We start from the raw sequence: 24,630 nt of genomic DNA on the forward strand, positions 1-24,630 counted from the left end.
ACGGGGTTTCTCCATGTTGGCCAGGCTGGTCTCAAACTCCTAATATCAGGCAATCTGCCCACCTTAGCCTCCAAAAGTGCTGGGATTACTAGTGTGAGCCACCGCATCCATCCTCAATCAGAATCATTTAAAGAGACAATATGACCTAAATCTTATATAAAGAAATGTTGCCTAGGCGCGGTGGCTCAAACCTGTAATCCCAGCACTTTGGGAGGCCGAGGCAGGTGGATCACGAGGTCAGGAGATCGAGACCATCCTGGCTAATGCAGTGAAACCCCATGTCTACTAAAAATACAAAAAATTAGCCGGGTGTGGTGGCGGGCGCCTGTAGTCCCAGCTACTTGGGAGGCTGAGGCAGGAGAATGGCGTGAACCCAGGAGGCGGAGCTTGCAGTGAGCCGAAATTGCACTACTGCACTCCAGCCTGGGCGACAGAGCGAGACTGTCTCAAAAAAAAAAAAAAGTTATTTGGAATATTTCTGTCTAGCTTTTTACTTTTTGAAGAATTTGTCTTTTTCCTACCTCATTAGATAATGGTAAGTCAAAGGGAAGAAAGTCCGTACCTACTTCCTGTGATGAATCCAATGCTTATTCAGGCTGGTTGATCACATAAGCCATACTTCTTGGTGATAAATGACTCAGAGTCCACGATAAGGCTTACACATTTCCAATGAAATCTTTCATGTCATGGAAGAGGAAATAAGATTGCAAGTTTGAAAGTAGATGATAATGATTAGTTTGGGATGCTATTTATAATCAGTGACATAGGAAGTTAATTAGTTGTTTTCGATGGAGTGACTAAGCTGATCCCAATAGAAAACTACTGCATACGATTTTCTAAATAAAAAATATTTTTTAAAGGGCTGAGAATTTTCATGATTATGGTAAGGTTGGGAGAAAGGATGCTTAGTGTTTAAAAATGGCACAGATGTAATTACAGACCAGTCCTCTCATTTTTGTTTAGAGCAAACTTTGTATTTATCGAATGTTTTAATTAATTTGATTTGTGTTGCTTAGTTATCGATCTCAAAAGATTCAGCCACATTAATACAAAAAATCTTTTCCGTAAAGTTTGTTTGGCTCAGAAGTTCTCTCTAAACCACCATTATAAATATGTAGTTCTAAGGCGATAGGACACAGTCATTAAACCTACATATTATGGTCTATTGCTAGATTTAAAACCGTTTTTTTATTAGCCAGGCATGATGGTGCCTGTAATCTCAGCTATTTATGAGGCTGAGGCAGGAGGATCCCTTGAGCCAGGAGTTGGAGGCTGGAGTGAGCTATGATTGCACCACTGCGCTCCAGCCTACCCAGGGAGACCCTGTCTCAAAAAAACAAAACAAAACCAAAAAAACCTAAAAACCTAAACAAATCCTGTTTTATAGATTTCTCGTTTCTATCTTCCTTAAAGTGTCCTCCTTTCTGAACCTTATGGGCCTTCCTGCCCTTTGTTCCCCTCCTACTTCAATGAATGTATTCTTCCTATTTCACTAGAGGCAGGAAATCAGTCACATGGATTGTGCAATTAATGGCAATTGTGTGCTTAAGGCTAGGTGTTTCTGAAATCAGGTTTTATTTTTTATTTGAATTTTTCTTTCAGAAATAACAAGTTGTTGATAACTGACAAATTTGATCACAGACAAGGATGATTATTCTGAATTTAATTTATTTTTTATTTTTATTTATTTATTTTTTTGAGACGGAGTCTTGCTCTGTCACCCAGGCTAGAGTGCAGTGGTGCGATCTCAGCTCACTGCAACCTCTGCCTCCTGGGTTCAAGTGATTCCCCTGCCTCAGCCTCCCAAGCAGCTGGGATTACAGGCATGTGCCACCATGCCTGGCTAATTTTTGTATTTTAGTAGAGACGGGGCTTCACGATGTTGGCCAAGATGGTCTCAATCTTCTGAACTTGTGATCCACCCGCCTTGGCCTCCCAAAGTGCTGGGATTACAGGCATGAACCACTGTGCCTGGCCCTGAATTTAAGTTATTTTAATAAAATAAGTAACATACTGTAATGGAAGAAAGCTGGGCATGCATTTGTAGAAAAGGGAACTTTTCTAACTCGGTACTGATTATCAATGGTATAAAATAATGCTGTATTTTCCAAATATACAAATTATTTACTCTGTAGGAATAAGTATGAAATGTGATGGTAACTGACCCAAGCTACAAAGACACTCTTTAGTTCACTGTGGAAATATTTTATTAGTGAATACCAGTGTGGTCTGGAAGAGTTGATGTAGTTTGCAAAAGGACCTAACTTGTTCCCAGCGAGTCATTTACAAACTGGCAGGACTTGGCTGATTATGGAAAGGAATAGTCCTCTTGACAAAAGTGCAAATTGTAAGTGCTGCTGATAAAGAGGCCCAAGGTCAAGAGAATCATCTGATTCTAACAGACAAACTGTCAGGGCAGTAATCAGAAGCATCACCTAGACGGTACCCTGGAGTCAAGATAAAGCAATTTACATAGTACTTTGTGTACTTATTTTCTTTTATTCTTACCTATTAACAGGTTTAAAATGTTTAAGTGATTTGACCAGATAACTAATAATAGTATTTAAATATCGACATCCTATAATGTGCCAGACACTATGCTGCCTGCTTTACATGCATTATCCGACTTGATTCTTACAGAAGCCCTTGAAAAGTGCTTTTATTATTGCCATTTTTAAAAGGAGGAAACTAAATCTGGGAGAGAGGTTCCAAAACATGTCCATGGTAGCACAGCAGGGATGTGATAGAGTCAAGACTAAAGCTTGGGTGTGCCCACTTCAGAGGCTAAGATATTGGTCCCCCAGTACTGCTAAGGCACGTCTTCAAGTTTAGTTCAAGTACACAGTTCTTTCTCTCCACTTGCCCTCCGCTCCTACATTTCCTCCAATAGACAAGTAGGTCTTCAGCATTTTGGGGTTCTGCCTTTTTTTTGAGACCGAGTCTCGCTCTGTCGCCCAGGCTGGAGTGCTGTGGCGCGATCTCAGCTCAAGGCAACCTCCGCCTCCTGGGTTCAAGCAATTCTCCTGCCTCAGCCTCCCAAGTATTACAGGTGTGTGCCACTATGCCCAGTTAATTTTTGTATTTTTAATAGAGATGGGGTTTCCCCACGTTGGCCAGGCTTGTCTCGAACTCCTGACCTCAAGTGATCCACCCACCTCGCCCTCCCAAAGTGCAGGGATTACAGGCGTAAGCCACTGCACCCGGCCTGGGGTTCTGCCATTTTTAAAAATTGTGTGTTTGTGTGTGTTCTGTAATAGACTGCATTATTTAGCACCATTTTATTTGTACAGAAAATTGAGCAGAAGGTGCAATTTTCGTATACATTTCCCCTTTCTCCCCACCCTCAGTTTCCCCTATTATTAACATCTTGCATTAGTGTGGTACACCTGTTACAATGGATGAGCCAGTACTATACATTATTATTAGCTGAAGTCCATAGTTTGCATTAGGGCTCACTAATGTTCTAAACACACAGGAGTTTTGTCAAGTATTTAATGTCGCAGATCCACTATTACAAAATTATACAAAACAGTTTTACTGTCCTAAAAATCCCTTTTACTCCACCTATTATCTCTCCCTCTCTCCTCCCAAGGCCCTGGCAACCACTGATCTTTTTACCATCTCTATAGTTTTGCCTTCTCCAGAATGTTATATTATTAGAATCATACAGGATGTAGCCTTTTCAGACTGGCTTCTTTCACTTAGCAACATGCATCACTTCATGTCTTTTTTGGCTTGCTAGCTCATTAAAAAAAAATAGATGAATGATATTCCTTTGTATGGATGTACTACAGCTTTTTAAAAAAGTCTCTTCATCTACTGAAGGACACTTTGGTTGCCTTAAAAATTGGCAATTATGAATAAAACTAGTATAAACCTTTGTATGTGGGTTTTTGTATGGACATAAGTTTTCAACTACTTTGATTAAATACCCAGGAGCATAATATCTGTATCGTATAGTAAGAATATGTTTAGGTTTGTGAGAAATTGTACCATTTGCATTCCCACCAGCAATGAATGAGAATTCATATTACTCCACATCCTCACCAGATCTTGGTGTCGGTGTATAGTGGTATCTCATTGTTGTTTTAATTTGCAGTTTCTTAATGATACATGAAGTTGAGCATGTTTTCATATGTGTGTCATTTGTATATCACCATTGGTGAGGTGTCTATTTAGATCTTTTGCCCATTTGTGTTGTTCATTTTCTTATTGTTTAGGTTTTTTTTGTTGTTTTTTTTTTTGGTTTTTTTTTTGAGACGGAGTCTTGCTCTTGTCGCCCAGGCTGGAGTGCAATGGCACAATCTTGGTTCACTGCAACCTTTGCCTCCCGGGTTCAAGTGATTCTCCTGCCTCAGCCTCCCGAGTAGCTGGGATTACAGGCACCCGCCACCACACCCAGCAAATTTTTGTATTTTTAGTAGAGACGAGGTTTCACCATGTTGGTCAGGTTGGTCTCGAACTCCTGACCTCGTGATCCACACCCCTTGGCCTCCCAAAGTGCTGGGATTACAGGCGTGAGCCACCACAACTGGCCTCCTATTGTATAGTTTTAAGGGTTTTTTGCATATTTTAAGTAACAGTGCTTATATGTCTTTTGCGAATATTTTCTCCTAGATTTCTGTGTTTTTTAGTAGTCAGTGATTCAACTTACCTGTGTTCTAAATTCTGAGAAAGTAAAAGGACTAATTCATGAGGTCATAACAAATGGAAGCATCAGTTATTAATTCATCATTTTAAGAGAAATGAACAGCCAATATAGATAGCAAAATAATGTTATTTCTAGCACGATGTTTTTCAAAGTAAATTTCACAAAACATTAGTTCTGTGAAGATTTGAAAGTTACCTGGTGTAAAATAAGTTTGTGAAGAGTCAGATTAAAAATAACTGAACCGGCTTCTTTGCTGTGGGTCTTCTTAGAGCCTTCATGCTGATGTTCATTATGATGGGGGAGGGTGAGAGTACACCTCTTTTTCCAAAGTTGTTTAACTACAGAACTCTTATTTAAGGTGTGTCAAAGAGCAATGAACATCTGTTTGGACAAGGCACCTTGAATCTTGTGAGTCCTATCAATAGGCTCCTGAAAAGTAAGATGGCAAAGGTAAAGTGAGTTTATAGGGTCTTGCTCTGAACCCCTCTTTTCCTCCACCCTTCTTGCCCTATACTATTTTTATTCAGCAACTTTTTTTTGAAAGTTTATTATGGAGAAGGCTTGGCATTAAGTCCTTTAAGTGATATAACAATGAAAAATGCTCAGTTTTGCTGTTTCTAGAGATAACCAGATCCAAACTTTTCTTGTACTAGGATTATACCAATTACAATAACATACAAGCAGGATTTGACAAATAGGATTAATCATTCATTTAGTCACCCGTTATTTATTGATTAGCTCCCACATGCCAGACTCTGTATGGGCATTGGAGATAGAACGGTGACCAAGATGTCCATTTTAACATCATAGAGTTTACAGTCTAGGGAAGGCTAAGAGACAATAAACAAGAAAACAAATAAATAAGCAAGATAATCTCATACAGTGTTAGCAGTGAAGAAGGAGGAAGAGGAGAAGACAGATAAACAGGGTGACAGAGATGGCAGTGCTTGGCAATGTTTTTCTATTAAAGCCACATAGTAAATATTTTAGGCTTTACAAGCCATAGAGTCTCTGTCACAACTATTCAACCCATAGTTGCAACATGAATGCAGCCACAGACAGTGTGTAAACAAAAGGGTATGGCTGTGCTCCAATAAAACTTTATTTACACAAAGAGTCCAGGGACAGATTTCACTTGCTGGCTCTAGTTTGCTGACTATGGGGATAGATAATGATTTGATGGGAGTTGGGATTACTTTAGATTGAGTTTCAAGAAAAACTCTTTAAGAGCAGGTACAGGCCGGGTGCGGCGGCTCATGCCTGTAATCCCAGCACTTTGGGAGGCCGAGGCGGGCAGATCACCTGAGATCGGGAGTTCGAGACCAGCCTGACCAACATGGAGAAACCCCGTCTCTACTAAAAATACAAAATTAGCTGGGTGTGGTGGCATATGCTTGTAATCCCAGCTACTAGGGAGGCTGAGGCAGGAGAATCGCTTGAATCTGGGAGGCGGAGGTTGCAGTGAGCGGAGATCACGCCATTGCACTCTAGCCTGGGCAACAAAAGCGAAGCTCCGTCTCAAAAAAAAAAAAAAAAAAAAAAAAAAAAAAAAGCAGGTACCATTTGAGCTGAGATCATAATTATAAGAAGGAAGCAGCCATAGAAATGTTCTGGAGGATGAATTCTATTAGAGAAACTATTAGGTTGGTGCAAACATGATTGTAGTTTTTGAGCGTCTTTTCATATGCTTGTCATTTTGTATATCACCTTTGGTGAGGTGTCTGTTCAGATCTTTTGCCCATTTGTGTTGTTCATTTTCTTATTGTTAATTTTAAGGGGTTTTTTTCGCATATTTTGAGAAACTTTACAGTGCTTTACAGATAAGTCTTTTGCAAATATTTTCTCCTAGAGTTCTGTGTTTTTTAATAGTCAGTGATTCAACTTACCTGTGTTCTAAATTCTGTGAAAATAAAAGGACTAATTCAGGAGGTCATAACAAATGGAAGCACCAGTTATTGAGTCATCATTTCGAGAGTAATGAACGCCAATATAGATAGCAAAATGTTATTTCTTTTTTTTTTTTTTTTTTTTTGAGACGGAGTCTTGCTCCGCCAGGCTGGAGTGCAGTGGCGCGATCTTGACTCACTGCGAGCTCCGCCTCCCAGGTTCACATCATTTTCCTTCCTCAGCCTCCCAAGCAGCTGGGACTACAGGCGCCTGCCACCATGCCTGGCTAATTTTTTGTATTTTTAGTGGAGATGGGGTTTCACCGTGTTAGCCAGAATGGTCTCGATCTCCTGACCTCGTGATCCACCTACCTCGGCCTCCCAAAGTGCTGGGATTACAGGCGTGAGCCACCGCGCCCGGCCCCAGTAATGTTATTTCTACATTACTTTTAAAACCAATGGCATTACTTTTAAATGGCAAACAGCCCAATTACGTTTGCCCCAACCTGATAGCAACTGCAAAAATCTTGTGAGAAGAACAAGCTTGACCTGGTCAAATATCAGCAAGAAAGCCTTGAACCTAGATCACAGTGAGCAAGGTGGCATCTGCAAAATGAGAATGTGAAGAAATAGGCAGGGCCCAACACATGCTAATTTGGATTTTAGTCTAACTTCAATATGAAGCCGTTGCAGGTTTTTATGAAAGGGGCTAAGAAACCTGAATGCCATTTTAAAAAGATGACTGCCTGTTAGGTAAAGAAGGGAAGGAAGAATGGAAGCAGTTAGGACACTGTCGTAATGAACCAGAATAGAGGAACTATGAGCATGGGCTAGGGTTGTTGTTGTGAACATGGGAAGTTGTGAATAGATTCGGAATAGGAAGTGGAAGCAAAACCAGTGGGAGAATGAAAATTAGATGTGAGCAGTGAAGGAAACGTTGAATCAAAGATGACTCTGAGGGACTTGAACAACTGGGTAGATGGAGATGTTATTTAGAGAGATGGCAAATCTTAGGGTGGAGCTTATCTTGGGAGTGAAAAATCAAGAGCTCTATTTTGGAGGGATGTTGAGTTTGAGAGATCTTTTAGACATCTGAGTGGAGATACTATGCAATCAGTCATTTGGTTATATAAGTTTGGAGTTCATTAGAAGGTAAAGTTCAAGAATCAGCTGTAAGGGCCAGGCGCCGTGGCTCACATCTGTAATCCTAGCACTTTGGGAGGCCGAGGTGGGCAGATCACCTGAGGCCAGGAGTTCAAGACCAGCCTGGTCAACAAGGTGAAAGCCATCTCTATTAAAAATACAAAAATTAGCGAGGCATGGTGATGCATGCCTCTAATCCCAGCTACTCGGAAGGCTGAGGCAGCAGAATCTCTTGAGCCCAGGAGGCGGACGTTGCAGTGAGCCGAAATCGTGCCATTGCACTCCAGCCTGGGTAAAAAGAGTGAAACTGCTTCTCACAAAAAAAAAAAAAAAAAAGAAGGAAAGAAAGGAAAGAATCATCTATTTGGAAAGACGCAAGACTGAAAGAGACCAGTTGAGGAGGGAATTTCTTTATTATAACACTTACCATATTCTGGTATAGTTATCTCTTTCTTTACTGATTTACATTGTAGCTTGTGAGTACCTGAGGGGCAGAATAAGGATCTTACTCAGTTTGTTCTTCCTATACCTAGTACAGTGTCTACCAGTTAGGAAGTTTTAAATAAATATCTGTTGAATTTTTTAAGACTACTGACTCCATATTCTTAGCTCTCTTTTACTCCTGTGGCCTCATTATTTATTTCCATTTGACAAATAAAATGGATAAAAACTACAAGGTGAGAAAAAGGACCCCTAGTTAAAGGCACTTGAACATTTTACCTTTTCGCCTTGGCTGAACACAGAGGCTGGAATGGAACATGCACAGTTAGCCAGAGTGTCATAGTCACCTTAATGATCCACACAGCTAGTGGTATAATTTATTAGCCTGCTGGGAACATTATTGATCATGGAGATGACCAAAATAATTGAAGCAGCCAAATTGTGGTTCTGTGCCCATTTGAAAAGTGATCTTGTAATTTGGTGATTTTTCTTTGTTTCCAAATTGCAGTGTTGGAAAAGGTCTTAGAGATTATCTGGCACAATATTATTATTTTATAGTTCAGAGAAGTTAAGTGCCTTGATCCAGGACACATGGCTACTGGTGGAAACACTGGTCCCAAGGCTCCTAATCCCTTATCCTTTCAACAACACTCTAGTGTGGGAGAGTAATGTGAGCAGGAAATAGCTTCTGTTTTTATATATCATTATATGTCACTGAATTTTTTTTTTTTTCTGTAGCAGCAAAGTAACCTAGCTCAGGCTGCTTGATCCTGTGTATGAATAGCTTTATAAATAAAGTTCTGTACACATGTAGATCCCTTTGTAGGAAAGAGGTGACAGTAGCACTCAAACTTCTTTCCATATGATCAGTTGTTGGCTGTCCACTATTTCAGAGATTCCTAGGGTAAGAGTGTGTGTGTGAGTGTGGGTGTATATGTATGTATTATTGTTGTCATTGTGTTATATTTATTTATTTATTTATTTTGAGATGGAGTTTCACTCTCCTTGCCCAGGCTGCAGTGCAATGGCACAATCTCGGCTCACTGCAAACTCCACCTCCCGGGTCCAAGAGATTCCCCTGCCTCAGCCTCCCAAGTAGCTGGGATTACAGGCATGCGCCACCATGCCTGGTTAATTTTGTATTTTAGTAGAGACAGGGTTTCTCTATGTTGGTCAGGCTGGTCTCGAACTCCTGACCTCAGGTGATCCGCCCACCTCGACCTCCCAAAGTGCTGGGATTACAGGCGTGAGCCACCGCACCTGGCCATTGTGTTATATTTAAATTTTATGAATATTATATATCTTTCCTGAGAGTTAGGGCTCTTGTCTGGGGAATTTGTGGTCTGAAAATCTATTTTCTTGGAGAGTAGTTGATATAATCAAGGAAAATAGAGCTAGAAATCTCAATTACAAATTATTTTTTTGTGTGACAGAGTTTTACCCAGGCTGGAGTGGAATGGCATGATCTCTGCTCAACTCTGCCTCCCAGGTTCAAGTGATTCTTGTGCTTCATTCTCCTAGTAGCTGGGACTACTGGCGTGCGCCACCACACCCAGCTAATTTTTGTATTTCTGGTAGAGACAGGGTTTTACCATGTTGGCCAGGCTGGTTTCGAACTCCTGGCCTCAAGTGATCCACCCACCTCGGCCTCCCAAAATGCTGGGATTACAGGCGTGAGCCACCACGCCCGGCTTCAGCTACCAATTCTAAATTATGAACCATATGTTGGGTTAGCAAAAACAGAGTAGATGGAATTATTCAACAACCTTTTATTTCTTCACCTTTTTTTTTTTTTAAGAGTTGGGGTCTTGCTGTATTGGGCAGGCTGGAGCGCAGTGGCTATTCACCAATGTGATTATATGCACAGCCTTAAAATTCTGGGATCAAGAGATCTTTTTGTTTCAGCCTTCCCTGTAACTGGGACTACTGGTGTGCCCACTGTACTCAGATCTCATTTTCCTTTTTGATGATTAAAGGTAATATATATGAATCTTAACCCACTGAAAAAATTTAATTTAAAAACTTAAAGGTGGCTTTCGCAAAATAGAAGGAAAACTGACAGTATTTGAATGGAACTTTCAGCTAGTAAGCTGATCCATCTTATCTACATCCCTTACCTCAAAGCTCTTAGGTGTAGACCTAAGTGTGCAAAGGGCGGCCAGAGAGCTGGCTTATACCATCAAAGTGGTTGAACCTGGATCCAACCAGGGAAAGACCTGTTCTAATTCAGATCCTGTTCTCAAGATGCAATAGAAATGGTGTCTGATGACAGTGGTTGGACCAACATCCAGTGTCCAGCTGGACACCTTTTCTACCAAATCAGGTCTGCAGGAAACAGACACTTGGACAAAAGGTAGGATTTTATTGTTGTATGTTCTTAGGCTTCCCAGAAACAATGGCATTTTCTGAAAAGCTTAGTAACACTTTTGGAAGTTCCAGTAATTATTTCAGACTCTGTAGACTCTGCTAACAATATTGCAGACTTTGGAAATGTCCCAGAAGCTATATGTTAAGCAGAAACCCTCTTTGCACCTTATGATTCATATTAACTATTCCCCTTTCTGAATTCTACAGGCACTTCTCTATCCCCTTCTACTCATCCTCCTCCCATGGGCTGCATGTCCATTATTTTCTTCTCTGTTTCATCCTGCAAATTTGAATTTCAAAATTCTCCTACTTTCATGATTAATTCCCCCTAAAAAAGTTAAATCCATGTTTACCTTATAACACAGCAATTCCACTTTTCGGTATTTACTCAATGGAAATGAACACATATATCTACAAAAAGACTTGTACAAGAATGTTCACAGTAGCTTTGCTCATAATAGCAAGTTTGAAAACTGCAAATAACCGAGATGTCCATCAACATAATCTGGATAAACAGGCTATGGTATATTCATACAATGGAATACTACTCAACAAAAAAAGGGAACCAACAACTGGTCTTCAGAAGACATGGATATATTGTGTTGCATGAAAGATGTCAGAAGCAAGATGCCTATGAAATATATGTATTTATATAAAATTGAAGGACATAGGCAATGCTAATCTGTGGTGACAAATATCAGTAGTACAGTGATGGCCTTTGGCCAGGAGGGGCCATGGAGATTGACTGGAAAGGGCTGGAGGAAGCTCTATGGGATGATGGAAATGTTTTGTGACTTGACAGCAGTGTGTGCTATATGAGTGTTTGCACTCGGGAAAACATCAAACTGTAACATTTAAGATCTGTGCATTTCACTGCATGTAAATTAAAACTCAATTTAAAATAAAAACATGAAAGGAAGCACATTCTTTTTCTAGCCCTCAGTTTTGCTTATTTCCTATCACTTAGGCATTATGCTTTTATAATACAATCACCTCCCCTCAAACTTACTGTCAGAAAGACAATGTAGTATCTGTCCATTACACATCTTTGTGTTTATTTAGATCAATGGTTTACATCTCCCAGTTTTCAAGTCTAGCAGTAGGCTTAAAGTACTGTGTTTGTTTTCAGTTTAAAGTATTCTAGACATTAGACAGAAGACAAGAAGTCTATTTCAAGGAATTGCCGAGCTCCTTCTAGTGCTTCTAATATCACGGCCAGTGCTTTAGTCACCTATGAAAGTTATTCCTGATACGTATGTATTTACTTACTTATTTATTTGAGAGAGTGTCTTGCTCTGTTGCCCAGGCTGGAGTGCAATGGTGTGATCATAGCTCACTACAGCCTCAAACTCCTGGGCTCAAGAGATCCTCCCACCTCAACATCCTGAGTAACTGGGACTAGAGGCGTGCACCACCACACTCGGCTAATTTTTAAATTTTTAATAGAGACGACGTCTCACTATGTTGCTGAGGCTAGTCTCAAGCTCTTAGGCTCAAGCCGTCCTCCTGTCTCAGCCTTCCAAAGTTCTGGGATTACAAGTATGAGCCATTGCGCCCAGCTTGTAGTTATTTTTTTTTTGAGACGGCTTTCTGCCTTTCTTTTCCATCTTCTCTCACTCACTTCTACATGCAGGATTGTGTGGGTGTGTATGTAAACACATATAATCTTTTTTAAAAATTCATCTCAGAAATATCTGAGTCTCTTTCTCTCATGGAATTTTCTTTTTCTTTCTTTTTTTTTTTTTTTTTGAGATGGAGTCTTGCTCTGTCACCCAGGCTGGAGTGCAGTGTGGTGATCTTGGCTCACTGCAAGCTCCGCCTCCCAGGTTCACGTCATTCTCCTGCCTCAGCCTCCCGAGTAGCTGGGACTACAGGTGCCCACCACCACGCCCGGCTAATTTTTTCTTGTATTTTTAGTAGATACGGGGTTTCACTGTTTTAGGCAGGATGGTCTCTAACTCCTGACCTTGTGATCCGCCCACCTATGCCTCCCAAAGTGCTGGGATCACAGGCATGAGCCACCGCACCCAGTGGAATTTTCAAGCTAATTTAATATTTCCCTTGACATGTCTCTCTCCCCCACTAAACTTGGGGCTCTCTTACAGGTGGTAAGTATCTAATTCATTTTGCTTTCCTAGTGCCCAGCACAGAATGTGCACAAATACAGACATGCAATAATGATCATTGAATAAATTAACAAATGACCCTTTTTTTTCTTATGTGTCTGATGAAGTGAAAAAGAACTATACTGAGAGGCAAGAACTTTTGACTAAGTGTTGTTTGCAGTTATAACTGTCCCCTCAAATCCACCACTCTTCTCTGTACTCCTATCTTTACTTCCTTCTATCACTATTTTATAGCAACACCAGGGTAGTATAAGTGTTCCTACAACTTCATACTATAGAAGTCTTTGGGAAAAAAAATGACATTATAATGACATTACAAAATGAAAGCAATTTGTGCCAAAAAAGGGATTACAGAGTTTTGCACCTTGAACTTTTACTTTATTGAAGTCAATGTTTTTTTCAACAGGCTTCCCAAAACAAAGAATGTTCAGATTGGACTGGCCTTAAAATGCAGTATTTAAAACAGCAACATGTCTGACAGATCCGAGAAATGAAATACGTCCATTTCTTTTGGCAAGGAGCAGAAGGCAACATAAAGCAGCTGCAAGAATTAATTCATGGAGATAGTTGACATTTTCGAGCTGACTGCCTCTTAGAGAAAATGATGTCATTCTCCAGCAGCCTAATGACAGTCATCAGCCTGAGAGGACACATGCTAATAAGGTTCATTGCTCACCTAGTTTTCTTCCTTTTTGTCTAGCCAGAGTGTCCTTGGATGCCCATAATTTGGCATTGTGCTCCTAGAATCATTTTTAAGAGAGACTAGAGTATGAAACTTAGGAAATAGTGCTTTTTTTTTTCCTAATCAGAAAATTGGATTAATGTTTCTAACTTCTTCCAGTAACTCAAAGTCATGCTCCCAGTTTATTCATAAGTATCCAAATTATTTATTTTATTTTTTTTTGAGACGGAATTTCACTCTTTTTGCCCAGGCTGGAGTGCAATGACGCGATATCGGCTCACCACAACCTCCGCCTCCCAGGTTCAAGCAATTCTCCTGCCTCAGCCTCCTGAGTAGCTGGGATTACAGGCATATACCACCACCCCGGCTAATTTTGTATTTTTAGTAGAGACGGGGTTTCTCTATGTTGGCTGTCTTGAACTCCCGACCTCAGGTGATCCACCCGCCTCGGCCTCCCAAAGTGCTGGGATTACAGGCATGAGCCACCGTGCCCAGCATAGGTATCCAAATTCTAATTGAACTTTCTAAGGTGTTGGATCCATTGTTTAAATTGTGAAAGACCATTGATTCAAGATGCTGAGACAGCTCCGATGATGAAAAACTATGATGCAGTAAAAATCTAAAATTGCGTTCTCAACCACAAAGAACATTGAGTCTGAAATGTCTAGAATACTCAGTATAGGTATCCTGGAGTTGACTTTACTCCTGGACAAAATTATGACTTTCAAAGGAGTTTTAAGATAAATTTTCATCTTTATCCAAATATGCAAAAGGGAACAAGCAATATCAGCTTAAAGGAAAGAAAGAGCAATATCAGCTCACCCACACCTTTAGACCATGGCTTTTGATGCTACTGTCAGAACTCATCTCAAGAAGCAAAACACCTGTTACATTTCCCAAGCCTTTCTGTTTTTGTCTCTCCCCTAATAGACTATCACCAGCAAAGAATTTTCTGAGCAAATGTGTACTGGAGACCTTCTGAGGAACCCACTAGAGCCTGCACATCCCCTTTTCCTAGCAAGGTCAACTGGAAAACAGGTAAAATGTGTGGGCTAGCAAACAAATAAAGGAGGCGAGCCGTGGATTTTGGAAGAAATTGATATGTTGCAAGCATAGAAGACCTGTAATTCAGAATGGTATTTATGGCTAAGGAGTTTCACCTTGTCCTAGCTTTGGCCACCTACTCTTGATGGAAATGAACTTCTGGAAAAAGAAACTCATACTACTGGATTTGGAGGAAGAGAACTAGAGTTTCAGCTCTGATTTTGATCATCTAATGCTTGATTATTAGATGGTTAGACCCAACTGATAGTAGAAAAACAATTTTCTTTCTTTCTTTCTTTCTTTTTTTTTTGAGATGGAGTCTAGCTCTGTTGCCCAGGCTAGAGTACAGTGGCATGATCTTGGCTGACTGCAACCTCTGCCTCATGGGTTCAAGCTGTTCTCCTGTCTCAGCCTCCCATGTAGCTAGGATTACAGGCACCCAACACCATGCCAATTTTTTCCGTTTAGTAAAGACAGGGTTTCATGGTGTTGGCCAGGCTGCTCTTGAACTTCTGACCTGGTGATCCGCCTGCCTTGGCCTCCCAAAATGCTGGGATTACAAGTATGAGCCACCGCGCTCAGCAGAAAAACAATTTTCTTAGCAGCTCAAGTGCTCTAATTGGTCCAAGGGTTTTCTACACCAGAGGGCAGAGCAGTCAGGTTACCAAATCAAGAATCAATGGTGTTTTGTTGATATTATAATGAAAAAGTAGATACAAGTTGAATCTGCAGAAGGACTGATTTTAAAAAATTAATAAATTAGATCATCTATAACCTTGGGATAAAATGTCTGATGTCCTGATGTATGTGGAATTAATTCAGTTAATGCTTATTTAGCACTGACTCTGTAAAAGTTCTCTTCAAGGCTCTGGGCAAAGGACAAAATAAGAGATACTGCTCTTACCTTCAAGGTCATTCAATCCAAATGGTATATTAGCCTGTGTACACAAATTACTTTCATTTTGTAAGGCACAAGTCACGTACACTTAACCCTCACAATAGTCCTGCTAGTTGGGTATTATTATTATTTATATAATTTTGCCTTTGTGTAAGCCTTTTCTTTTGTCCATGGCTGTTTGTTGTTTATAAAATGAGTATGTTAGATTAATACAAATAATAGTTAACATTTATTAATTACTTACTGTTTGCCAACTGTTTTGAAAGTATTAGCTAATTTAAGCCTTATAACAACCCTGTTATATCTATCTTTCAGAAATTCAGCAAGGTTAAGTGACTTGCCCAAAATCAGAGCTGAAACTCTATTTCTCTTCCTCCAAATCCAGTGTTCTTTCCAAGATAACGTGCAACTTTCCTTTGGAATGATCAGCAGAATGTCAAATAAGGAAAGGACATGTAGAGTTCATGGGAGGAGACATTACTTCTGGCTGCAGAATTATGGAGGCTTTATGGGAGACGCCGTATATTTTATCTGTGCGCCTTGATCACGTGTCTGACCATGGACAGAGAAACCAGCCTAATGAGCCTTCTTTACAGGTGACCCTCTAGCCCTTGGTGAACATCTTGTTTTTATTCTTTCTTAATTCCAACACTTATTCTTGACAACTTTACAAATGAACAAATCTTATTTACTAAATTGTTGATGTAGTTTTTGTCTAACACAGGGCTGATTTTACCCTTGAGAGACGGACACAAGGCTTCATTTAGGGGAGGATTAGGTTTGATGTTTATTCACTGCACGAGGCAGATTGGTTTTAGAGACATGGGTTACAGTCTTGGCTTTTCCTGTTACTGCTTTTGGGTCTTTAGATGAACATTTTGCTTTCTCTAGACTCCTTCTTTATATATAAAACAACTACATCTTTGGACCTATAATAACTGTTGGTGGTCTCCAATGAGACAAGGATATGAGGGTGCTTTGTGAATGGCTACCCAAATGTAAAATATTATTATTATTATTATCATTCAGTATTATAAAATATTGATAAAAATATTGTCTAGATTTTTCAGACATCTTAGAAGTCTTCTTTTTCTTCAGGGAAAAAGAGAACCCTAAATATCAATTATAATCAGAATTTCACAGCAAGTAAAAATACCTGTGTGTTAATGAAATTAATCCTTAATGAACCAGATGACAATGACTATTTGATATCTGACCTTAATTTTTTAAACCAGGCATCAAAACACTTAGAAGTGGGTAGGCAGGGTGAGTACAGAAGAGGAGTGGTGGAATTCCCTTTACTGTAGGTTAGTTGGAAAGAGAGAATCAAGATTCATATGACTCTCAGGCAAAAAGAGTGGGAAGAGATAGACTGAAATCTCCATATTCACAGGTAAGAACAGACATTTCTTGGCCCAAATGATAAAGCAATGTTCAGCTCTTCTAGTCAAGTCGCCCATACTGTGGAATTCCAAGGAAACAGTCTTCACTCCTGTTAAGTGATATTCCTGGCCATTGTCAATGCGCAAGTCCCACAACAAGGCAGAGACATTCATGCTCTTCATTAACATTCCCCTAAGGTCTCAGTTTGCATCTCTCTATCCATCTCCTAGCTCTGAAAGGAAGTTTCCTGGGAAACCTTTTCTATGAATGGAATGGATGAGGTTTGTCCCATGAGGGAAGAATTAAAAAAAAAAAAAACAAAAAACACACAGACACACACAACAACAACACAGTACAACAAAAAAACTTCTTTCCCACTGCAGCCAGGAGCAGATTACGCCTATCTTTTTTCAAGGACAGGTGGAAATTCTGACCATGTGGTATTCAGTCATACTAGGAATGTTGCTCTCTCAATTTAACAGGAGAGCTTCCTTTCTTACTGATTAAAAAAGTCAAAAGGGGTTTAAAATTGCTTAGGTAAAAAGAACTATGGTTGAGTTTTCTCAGCCACAGATAAACATTGGCTCTTTCTGATCTGCTCTGTTGTCAGCTATGTAATGACTCAGTTTGTGCATTGTTCTCCTTGTTCAGAACAGAAGGGAGAGTAAACCTTATCCACAGGCTCCTGTTACAAGTAGACCTTCCCCTTCCATCAGAGGTGGGCTTTGTGCGACACAGTCAGGACATTCACAAATTAAAAGATGAAGAACAGCCCACATTTTCACCAGCTATTGATATTCCCTATCCCAGTAAACCATGGGTTTTCGTCTGAGTATTTTTTTCCAACTTAAAGAGAGAGAGAGAAAGAGAGAATATGTAGGCTAACCAGCTCTATTGCTAACAAAAGAAATAGTTAAGAGAGGAAAACAACCAGGGATGAAAATCAGGCTTTTATTTGAATCTTCTTGCTTCTTTTCAGCACCAGCTTCCTGGCTAACTTGAGCATCCTATTCCTGAGCTGGTTGAAATATGCCTTTTTTAAAAAAACAACTTTAATGAGATATAATTTACATACCATAAAATTCATCTGTTTAAAGTATGGGACTCAATGGACCCAGTGGTTTTTAGTATATTTATAGATTTGTTCAACCATTACCATAATCAATTTTATAACATTTTCATCAATCCAAAAGGAAGCCCAGTACCCATTTGCTGACACTCCCCATTCTCCCCACTCCACCACCAGCCCTAAGCAGCCACGAATCTACCTTCTGTCTCTAGAGATTTGTCTATTGGATCTTTCATACAGAAGCATGCAATAATGTGATTTGTTTGTTTGTTTTGTTTTTCTCATGTTTTTTATTTCTTTATTTTTTTTATTATACTTTAAGTTTTAAGGTACATGTGCACACGTGCAGGTTAGTTACATATGTATACATGTGCCATGTTGGTGTGCTGCACCCATTAACTCGTCATTTAACATTAGGTATATCTCCTAATGCTATCCCTCCCCCCTCCCCCCACCGCACAACAGGCCCCGGTGTGTGATGTTCCCCTTCCTGTGTCCATGTGTTCTCATTGTTCAGTTCCCACCTATGAGTGAGAACATGCGGTGTTTGGTTTTTTGTCCTTTAGATAGTTTGCTAAGAATGATGGTTTCCAGCTTAAATGTGATCTTTTATGACTGGTTTCTTTCACACAGAATAATGTTTTCAAGGTTCATCCAGGCTGTAGCAGCACTTCATTTCTTTGTATTGCCAAATACTATTCCATTGTGTGACTATAACACATTTTATGTACCCTTTCATCTTTTGATTGACATTTGGGTTGTTCCCACTTTTTGACACTTATGAATAATGATGTTGTGAATATTCGTGTATAAACTTTTGTGTGGACATATATTTTCATTTCTCTTTGGTATTGACCTAATAGTGGGATTGCAAGGTTGTGTGTTTAACACTATGTTAAATATTTTTAGGAAGCCCCAAGCTGTTTTCCAAAGTGGTTGTACCATTTTACATTCTCACCAGCAATGTACCAGGGTAAGACTTATTTGCAATTTTCTCCTGCTTATAGAATTCTAAAGCTATGTAAAAGGTTAGAAATGTAACAGGTGGGTCATTTTGATACTTATTTAGAAAGCCTACTTTTTCTTTCCAAACTACAAACATTTCTGTTGTCTAATGAGCAGATGCTACCAGCTAATGAAGCAGGAATACTAATTTCTTATTTGATTCATAATAATATTCAGTAATTACAGAGGAATCTTTACTTATCTAGCTTTCTGTGTATATGTGTTCTACAGTACTAATTTTTCTTTCTTTTCTTTTAAAAATTCACCTTCCTTACTGCTTTGTTATTTAATGATTTGTTCTGATTATAGACCATTAATGCCTGTTTAAAAAAAAAGTCCACATGTGCATTTCAATACCTCTTTTATTTTATACTGATTCAAAGCAATTCAATTCTTCATTCCTAAAAACATTTAGGCTGAGGCATAAAATAGCCAATTTAAACGAAGTAACATTTAGTCTTTGAAATTGCCGTATATGTATTCTTCATTTATGCCTACCTGAAAATGTCAGGTATGAAATGAATTTTAGTGACTCAATTGTTATTCTATAGGCAAATCCTTATCTTATAAACATACTAGATAACTTTATAAGATAAATCTGTTTCTAAGACAAAATTTGTCCATAATTCTGAATTTCTTTCTTTCTTTATTTACTTAATGAAAAGGATGTTTCATGAACCTTCTAATTCTTTCCTACTGTGGATGTTAGTTGGCATTTTGTATTGAATTTCAACATTTGAGAATAAGTCATGGGTCCAGCTAATCTGCATAGACCAATTTGGAGCAGCATCCTTAATGAGTGGTGAACTTTCTCTGTTCTCCAGACAATATCAACTCTGCCACTTGAAACCAAGGCTTCTAATGACATGAACTGAAGGAAAAGTCTTGATTTCAGATTTTTGTTTGGCCTGTTTCATCTCCATTTGCCGACCCTGGATTACGCAGATAGTGCACTGCTTTTAGTAATCTAGGCCCTTGTGCCAGACCTTGACTGTCATACTGCATTATAACTGATGGTTCAAATGCTTCTTTTACATAAGGAGTATTTTCTTCCCAGAGATACCTCTAAGATATTCATGGCTAACTAAAAATACTCCTGAATGCTGTTCTCAAGTAGAGTTTCAAGGTCAACATGAAAATTGTTATCACTCTCTTATGTGACATAAAAAAATCTGTTTTATCTTTGTAACAATGCTTTCATTAAAAAAAAAAAAAAGCTTTGCAATTCCTCTGCTACACTAGTGTTTTCTCAGATACCAAACAGGCTATGCCTTGATGGCAAGAAGAACAAGTTATGATTATTTATATGCCAGTGTGCACTTGTTTCCATCTAGAGTTATAAACAATTAGTTTATGATAATCAATTGTGACAGCAAAAAGGATTTCTACTCCACTAGCTTATATTTCTAATAACAGAGAAACAGAAGTAATTTTGATAATGTCTTACGTGTCCAGTGAAGTAATTTCCCTGTTACTGGCTTTTAGCAAGAATTTATAATTAAATCAGAGAGAAAAAAACACTGGCAGCCAACATTGTGTCACATTTATTTCAAGTGTAATGTCAAAAATTTCATGGATGGTCACTTGGACATTGAAAGAGCAAAAAGATTAGAGAGCAGAATGGGATGATGAGAGGTTCTGTTCATTTTCCTGCCTTCCCAAAGTAAGAAGGGCAAATCAAGTATAAATAAAACTATTGCCTTAATGAGGCTCTTGAGTTTCTGCCTAAACCAACAACGGGAATAATGGAAATCCGCCCCAAAAGTAATTCTTTTATATCTGTTATTTAAAAGAAGTTGTCTACACACACACACACACACACACACACACACACATTCACTCATTAAGAATTTGAAAAAAATATTTATCTACCTCCTTCTTTCCTATGTCTGCATATGCATTTTTCTTTTGAAAAAGGCTGTAGATGAAAAAGAAAAACATTTACAGCGTAACAAGATTAAAACTATGTTTTATGGCAAATGGTTTAAAACTTCAGGAAACCACCTTTAAAGGCCGCAAACGAATGCTTGCTTTTTACTTAGACCTGTGGTGATCTCCCCATCGCCTGGAAATATGGAGCGGTACTGTAGAGTGTGTATACACTAGTGTGTACTCCTGTACTCATTATAATGTGGCCTGGAGCTTGGAGCTAAACATTTCTCTAGAACATAATGAGCTGTGTACTGTAATGAAGGGGTTTGAAATTGATTTGACTGTTATTTAGTATAAAAACTCCCAGATCAAAGGCTCTGGCAAGGCTACAGACACTCAGGCACTCCCAGACAAAGGACACTGTATGATGGCGGGAGGCAAGTGGAGAGGTGTGGTGGCTTATGCAGAGCCAAGGAATTTATCGAGCCATTATCTGTTTGTTTTTATTTCAAGTCACTATACATCACTCACAAACTGCCATCTGGCAGTAGATGATTTTGAGGATTATTTTGAAGAATATTACAAAACCCGATTTAATTTCCCTCTCGATTCCTAGTATTTCCGTATTGCTCCTTCATCACAGTCATGGACGCCCTCCCAAGCTAATTTGTAAAATGAATTTTACTGAATGCCATTTAATCTTATTGCCATAGTTACAAACCAAGAAATCGAAAATTGCTAGGCTGAGCTGAAAATAGCTGACTTGGTACAAGGAAGAGGACTAATTCTTATGCAAAGCTCTACGCTCACATACAATCTCTGATTCAAAGAACAATAGAAAGTTTGATCCTTGAAAACCTGACCTTCTGATGCCTTTTCACTCTCCAACCCAGAACCACCATAGGTTTGAATGAAATGTGTAAAAACTAAAGATAAGGTTTGCTTTGCAACCTGCTGTTTTAGCTTCTGTGTTACTGTTGCAATGAGGTCACAGCCTTGATATTTTCACAGGCAATACTGGGGATTTTATAACTGTGTGAAAATTATAAAAGCAAGAACCCATGTAACGGCTGAAATTTAAGAAAGGTTTAAATAATTCCTGAGCATTATTATTTATAATTGACAACTCTATCTATCTAATCATTCTATAATTCTATTATCATAAAGCATACCCATCATCTGGGTGAACATATGTATTCCATGAGAGACGAATAGGATAGGTTATATGAAAAGAAATTAAGGTGCTGAACATCCAAAGGCCTGTCTTTATAGGTATATATGTACCTAGATTTTACATACCTATATATGTATGTATCTCTCTTAGGGAGAGAGATAAAGAGAATGCAGTGATAAGATGTAATTAGAATAAATATATTTTAAGGAGAGTTGTTTAACCCATATAAGCAATCATTTTAAGATTTTTGCCAAAGTCAATGCCCCTTTAATCTAATATTTAATGTATTGAAAACTCTTTCTATGTGCTAATAATTTGTCGTCATCAAGTTTGCATTATTCTTGGTCCTTAAAAACAATGAAATCAATTTCTTTGGACAGTTATTTCATTTCTTTGGTCCTTCATTGTCTTACCTGTACAAAGAGAGGATTAGAACTTTGAGATCTTTAACAGGCAGAAAAGTATGATTTAATTATTTTTTAATTTTCACTTATTCAACTTGCAATTTATCTGATTTCATTTAGATTATTATGGCTTTGGCATATTTGAATATAATTTTAACATATTTGATTGACAATTCAAAAACAAACAGAGCCACTTAAATATTCAGAGTAAGTAAAATATATGCCATGTATGTAACAACTCAGCACAAAGAGCCCCTCTGTACTCACAGGGCAGGAAGTCAATCAGCTGAGGCTGTATGGCTGCTGCTGTGTAGTGCCCGCCAGCTGCTGCTCAGCTTCTAGACATTTGCTTTTGTATGCGAAAATCTCAGGAGGACTTTGGGAGTTCTAGGGAACTGCTTGTTGAATGTGGGAGGAAAAGAGCATACCGTGGTATTCTCATTCTAAAACAACCCCACAGAGGGGCTGTGTGTACAGACTGGCCTCAAATGAGTAGGATAGGAGATTCTAAGTGTTGTGCAAAGTACGTTTTAAGGATTTTCTTTTATTTTTTAAAATAAATGAGAAATGCTGGGTTAACTAAGGAAAACAAGCTTCCTTATTGCAGGACTTCTCTAGGCCTTTAAAATGCCAGCCTTGCAGGGCGCAGTGGCTCATGCCTGTAATCCCAGCACTTTGGGAGGCAGAGGTGGGCGGATCACCTGAGGTTGGGAGTTCAAGACCAGCCTGACCAACATGGAGAAACCCCGTCTCTACTAAAAATACAAAATTAGCCGGACATGGTGGCTCATGCCTGTAATCCCAGCTACTTGGGAGGCTGAGGCAAGAGAATCGCTTGAACTTGGGAGGCAGAGGTTGCGTTGAGCCGAGATCATGCCATTGCACTTCAGCCAGGGCAACAAGAGCAAAACTCCATCTCAAAATAAATAAATAAATAAAATGCTGGCCTCCAAAAATGTAAGTCCCCAAAAGTGGGATGGAAGACACAACATTGTTCACTTTTCTTTTTTTCTGTTTTTTTTTTTTTTTTCTTTTTTAGACAGGGTCTTGCTCTGGGCTGGAGGGCAGTGGTGCAATAGTAGCTCACTGCAGCCTCGAACTCCTGGGAGCAATCATTCCTGGCATCTCAGCCTCCTGAGTAGCTGGGACTACAGGTGTGCGCCACTACACCTCACCAACTTTTGTATATTTTGTAGACGGGGTTTTGCCATGTTGCCCAGGCTAGTCTCGAATTCCTGAGCTCAAGCCATCTGCCCACCTTGGCCTACTAAATTGTTGGAATTACAGGCATGAGCCACAGCACCTGGCCTGTTTATGTCTCTTGATAACACGACCTTTCCTCTTCTGATCCTCCAGTCTTTTGTGGAATAAGTATGTCATCAAATGCAATTAGGCAGGGTGGCAAATAGGTTTCATTTTGAGTGCCACATTTGGTCAGTTGGTAGAGACTACCTGCAGGCATTTTATAAAGGACTTTGAGTGGTGGTTCTGATTACAAGGAAAGAGAAGGTCTAATGATGATTGGTATACCATGGCTTTGCCATCCCCGCCCTTGTTTTCCACCCATCCTGAGTCTTTCAATCATTACTCGATTATCTTCCACGTACTACCTTATCAGGAAATCTCAGAGATAAAATTACAATTCGCCTGAATCTCAGTTTACTTTTGATTTCACATAAGTTGGAAGTTCAAACACTTGCAACCAAACATGCAAAAACTGGGAATACACCACAATGCACATTTTCTAGGTCTAACATTTTACTTACAGAAGTTCAGTTCGATAAACCATACACACACACAAGAGCATGTTCATCCTTTTATTATGAGAGAGGAATTATGTTTTGGGTTATCTTTTTCTAAAACACCTGTTAGATAAAACCTTATTAGCTATTTACTTGCAGCAAATAACATGTATTATGTACTATGTAAACTATAAAACATTTATTAAACTTCACTGAAAATGCAGTTACCACTACTTGCATTCTTATGAATATACAATATTACATTGTATTCAGACCAATTGAGCTGCAGGCAAATATAACCACCTGTGATCCAACAAAGTTCTGGTTATGGTCTACGGCCATACCACCCTGAACGCGCCCGATCTCGTCTGATTATGTTAAGATCAGACATACTGAGTTATTGTTTAAGCCATTTTCTACAATTCAGCATCAAAAATGTGGTAGTCAGGGCCTGTTAGAGGCAATGTAGACACATTTTAAATGTAAATGACCTACAGTCAGTGACAAATGATAAAAACTGAAGGTTACATTAATCCCAAAATATCTATGAAAAGAACAGAATAGTCCTATTGTAGTGGCTCATATCTGTAATCTCAGCACTTTGGGAGGCCAAAGTGGGAAGATTGCTTGAGCCCAGGAGTTTGAGACCAGCCTGGGCAACATGATGAGACCCCCATCTCTACAAAAAATACAAAAATTAGCCAGGCGTGGTGGCGCGTGCCTGTGGTCCCAATTACTTGGGA

General features: G+C 39.1%; 1 long non-coding RNA gene across 1 annotated transcript in view, besides 1 other annotated feature; it reads left to right on the top strand.

Moving 5' to 3' along the window:
• LOC105379133 (uncharacterized) overlaps positions 1–20,513 on the top strand; it is a 49,950-nt gene extending 29,437 nt beyond the window's left edge. The window contains exons 2-4 of the long non-coding RNA XR_948689.3: positions 13,021–13,277; positions 14,227–14,334; positions 15,624–20,513. This is a non-coding gene — a long non-coding RNA (uncharacterized LOC105379133). The remainder of the gene's footprint in view (positions 1–13,020; positions 13,278–14,226; positions 14,335–15,623) is intronic.
• Positions 21,009–21,625: an enhancer, noted in NCBI's record as "NANOG-H3K27ac hESC enhancer chr5:116150575-116151191 (GRCh37/hg19 assembly coordinates)". NCBI's record gives its function as "activates a minimal SCP1, AML or CMV promoter by ChIP-STARR-seq in naive H9 embryonic stem cells {active_cell/tissue: H9 hESC(naive)}" and the evidence as "EXISTENCE:reporter gene assay evidence [ECO:0000049][PMID:30033119]".

This window comes from Homo sapiens, chromosome 5 (assembly GCF_000001405.40).
Source record: "Homo sapiens chromosome 5, GRCh38.p14 Primary Assembly".
Classification (NCBI taxonomy): Eukaryota; Metazoa; Chordata; class Mammalia; order Primates; family Hominidae; genus Homo; species Homo sapiens.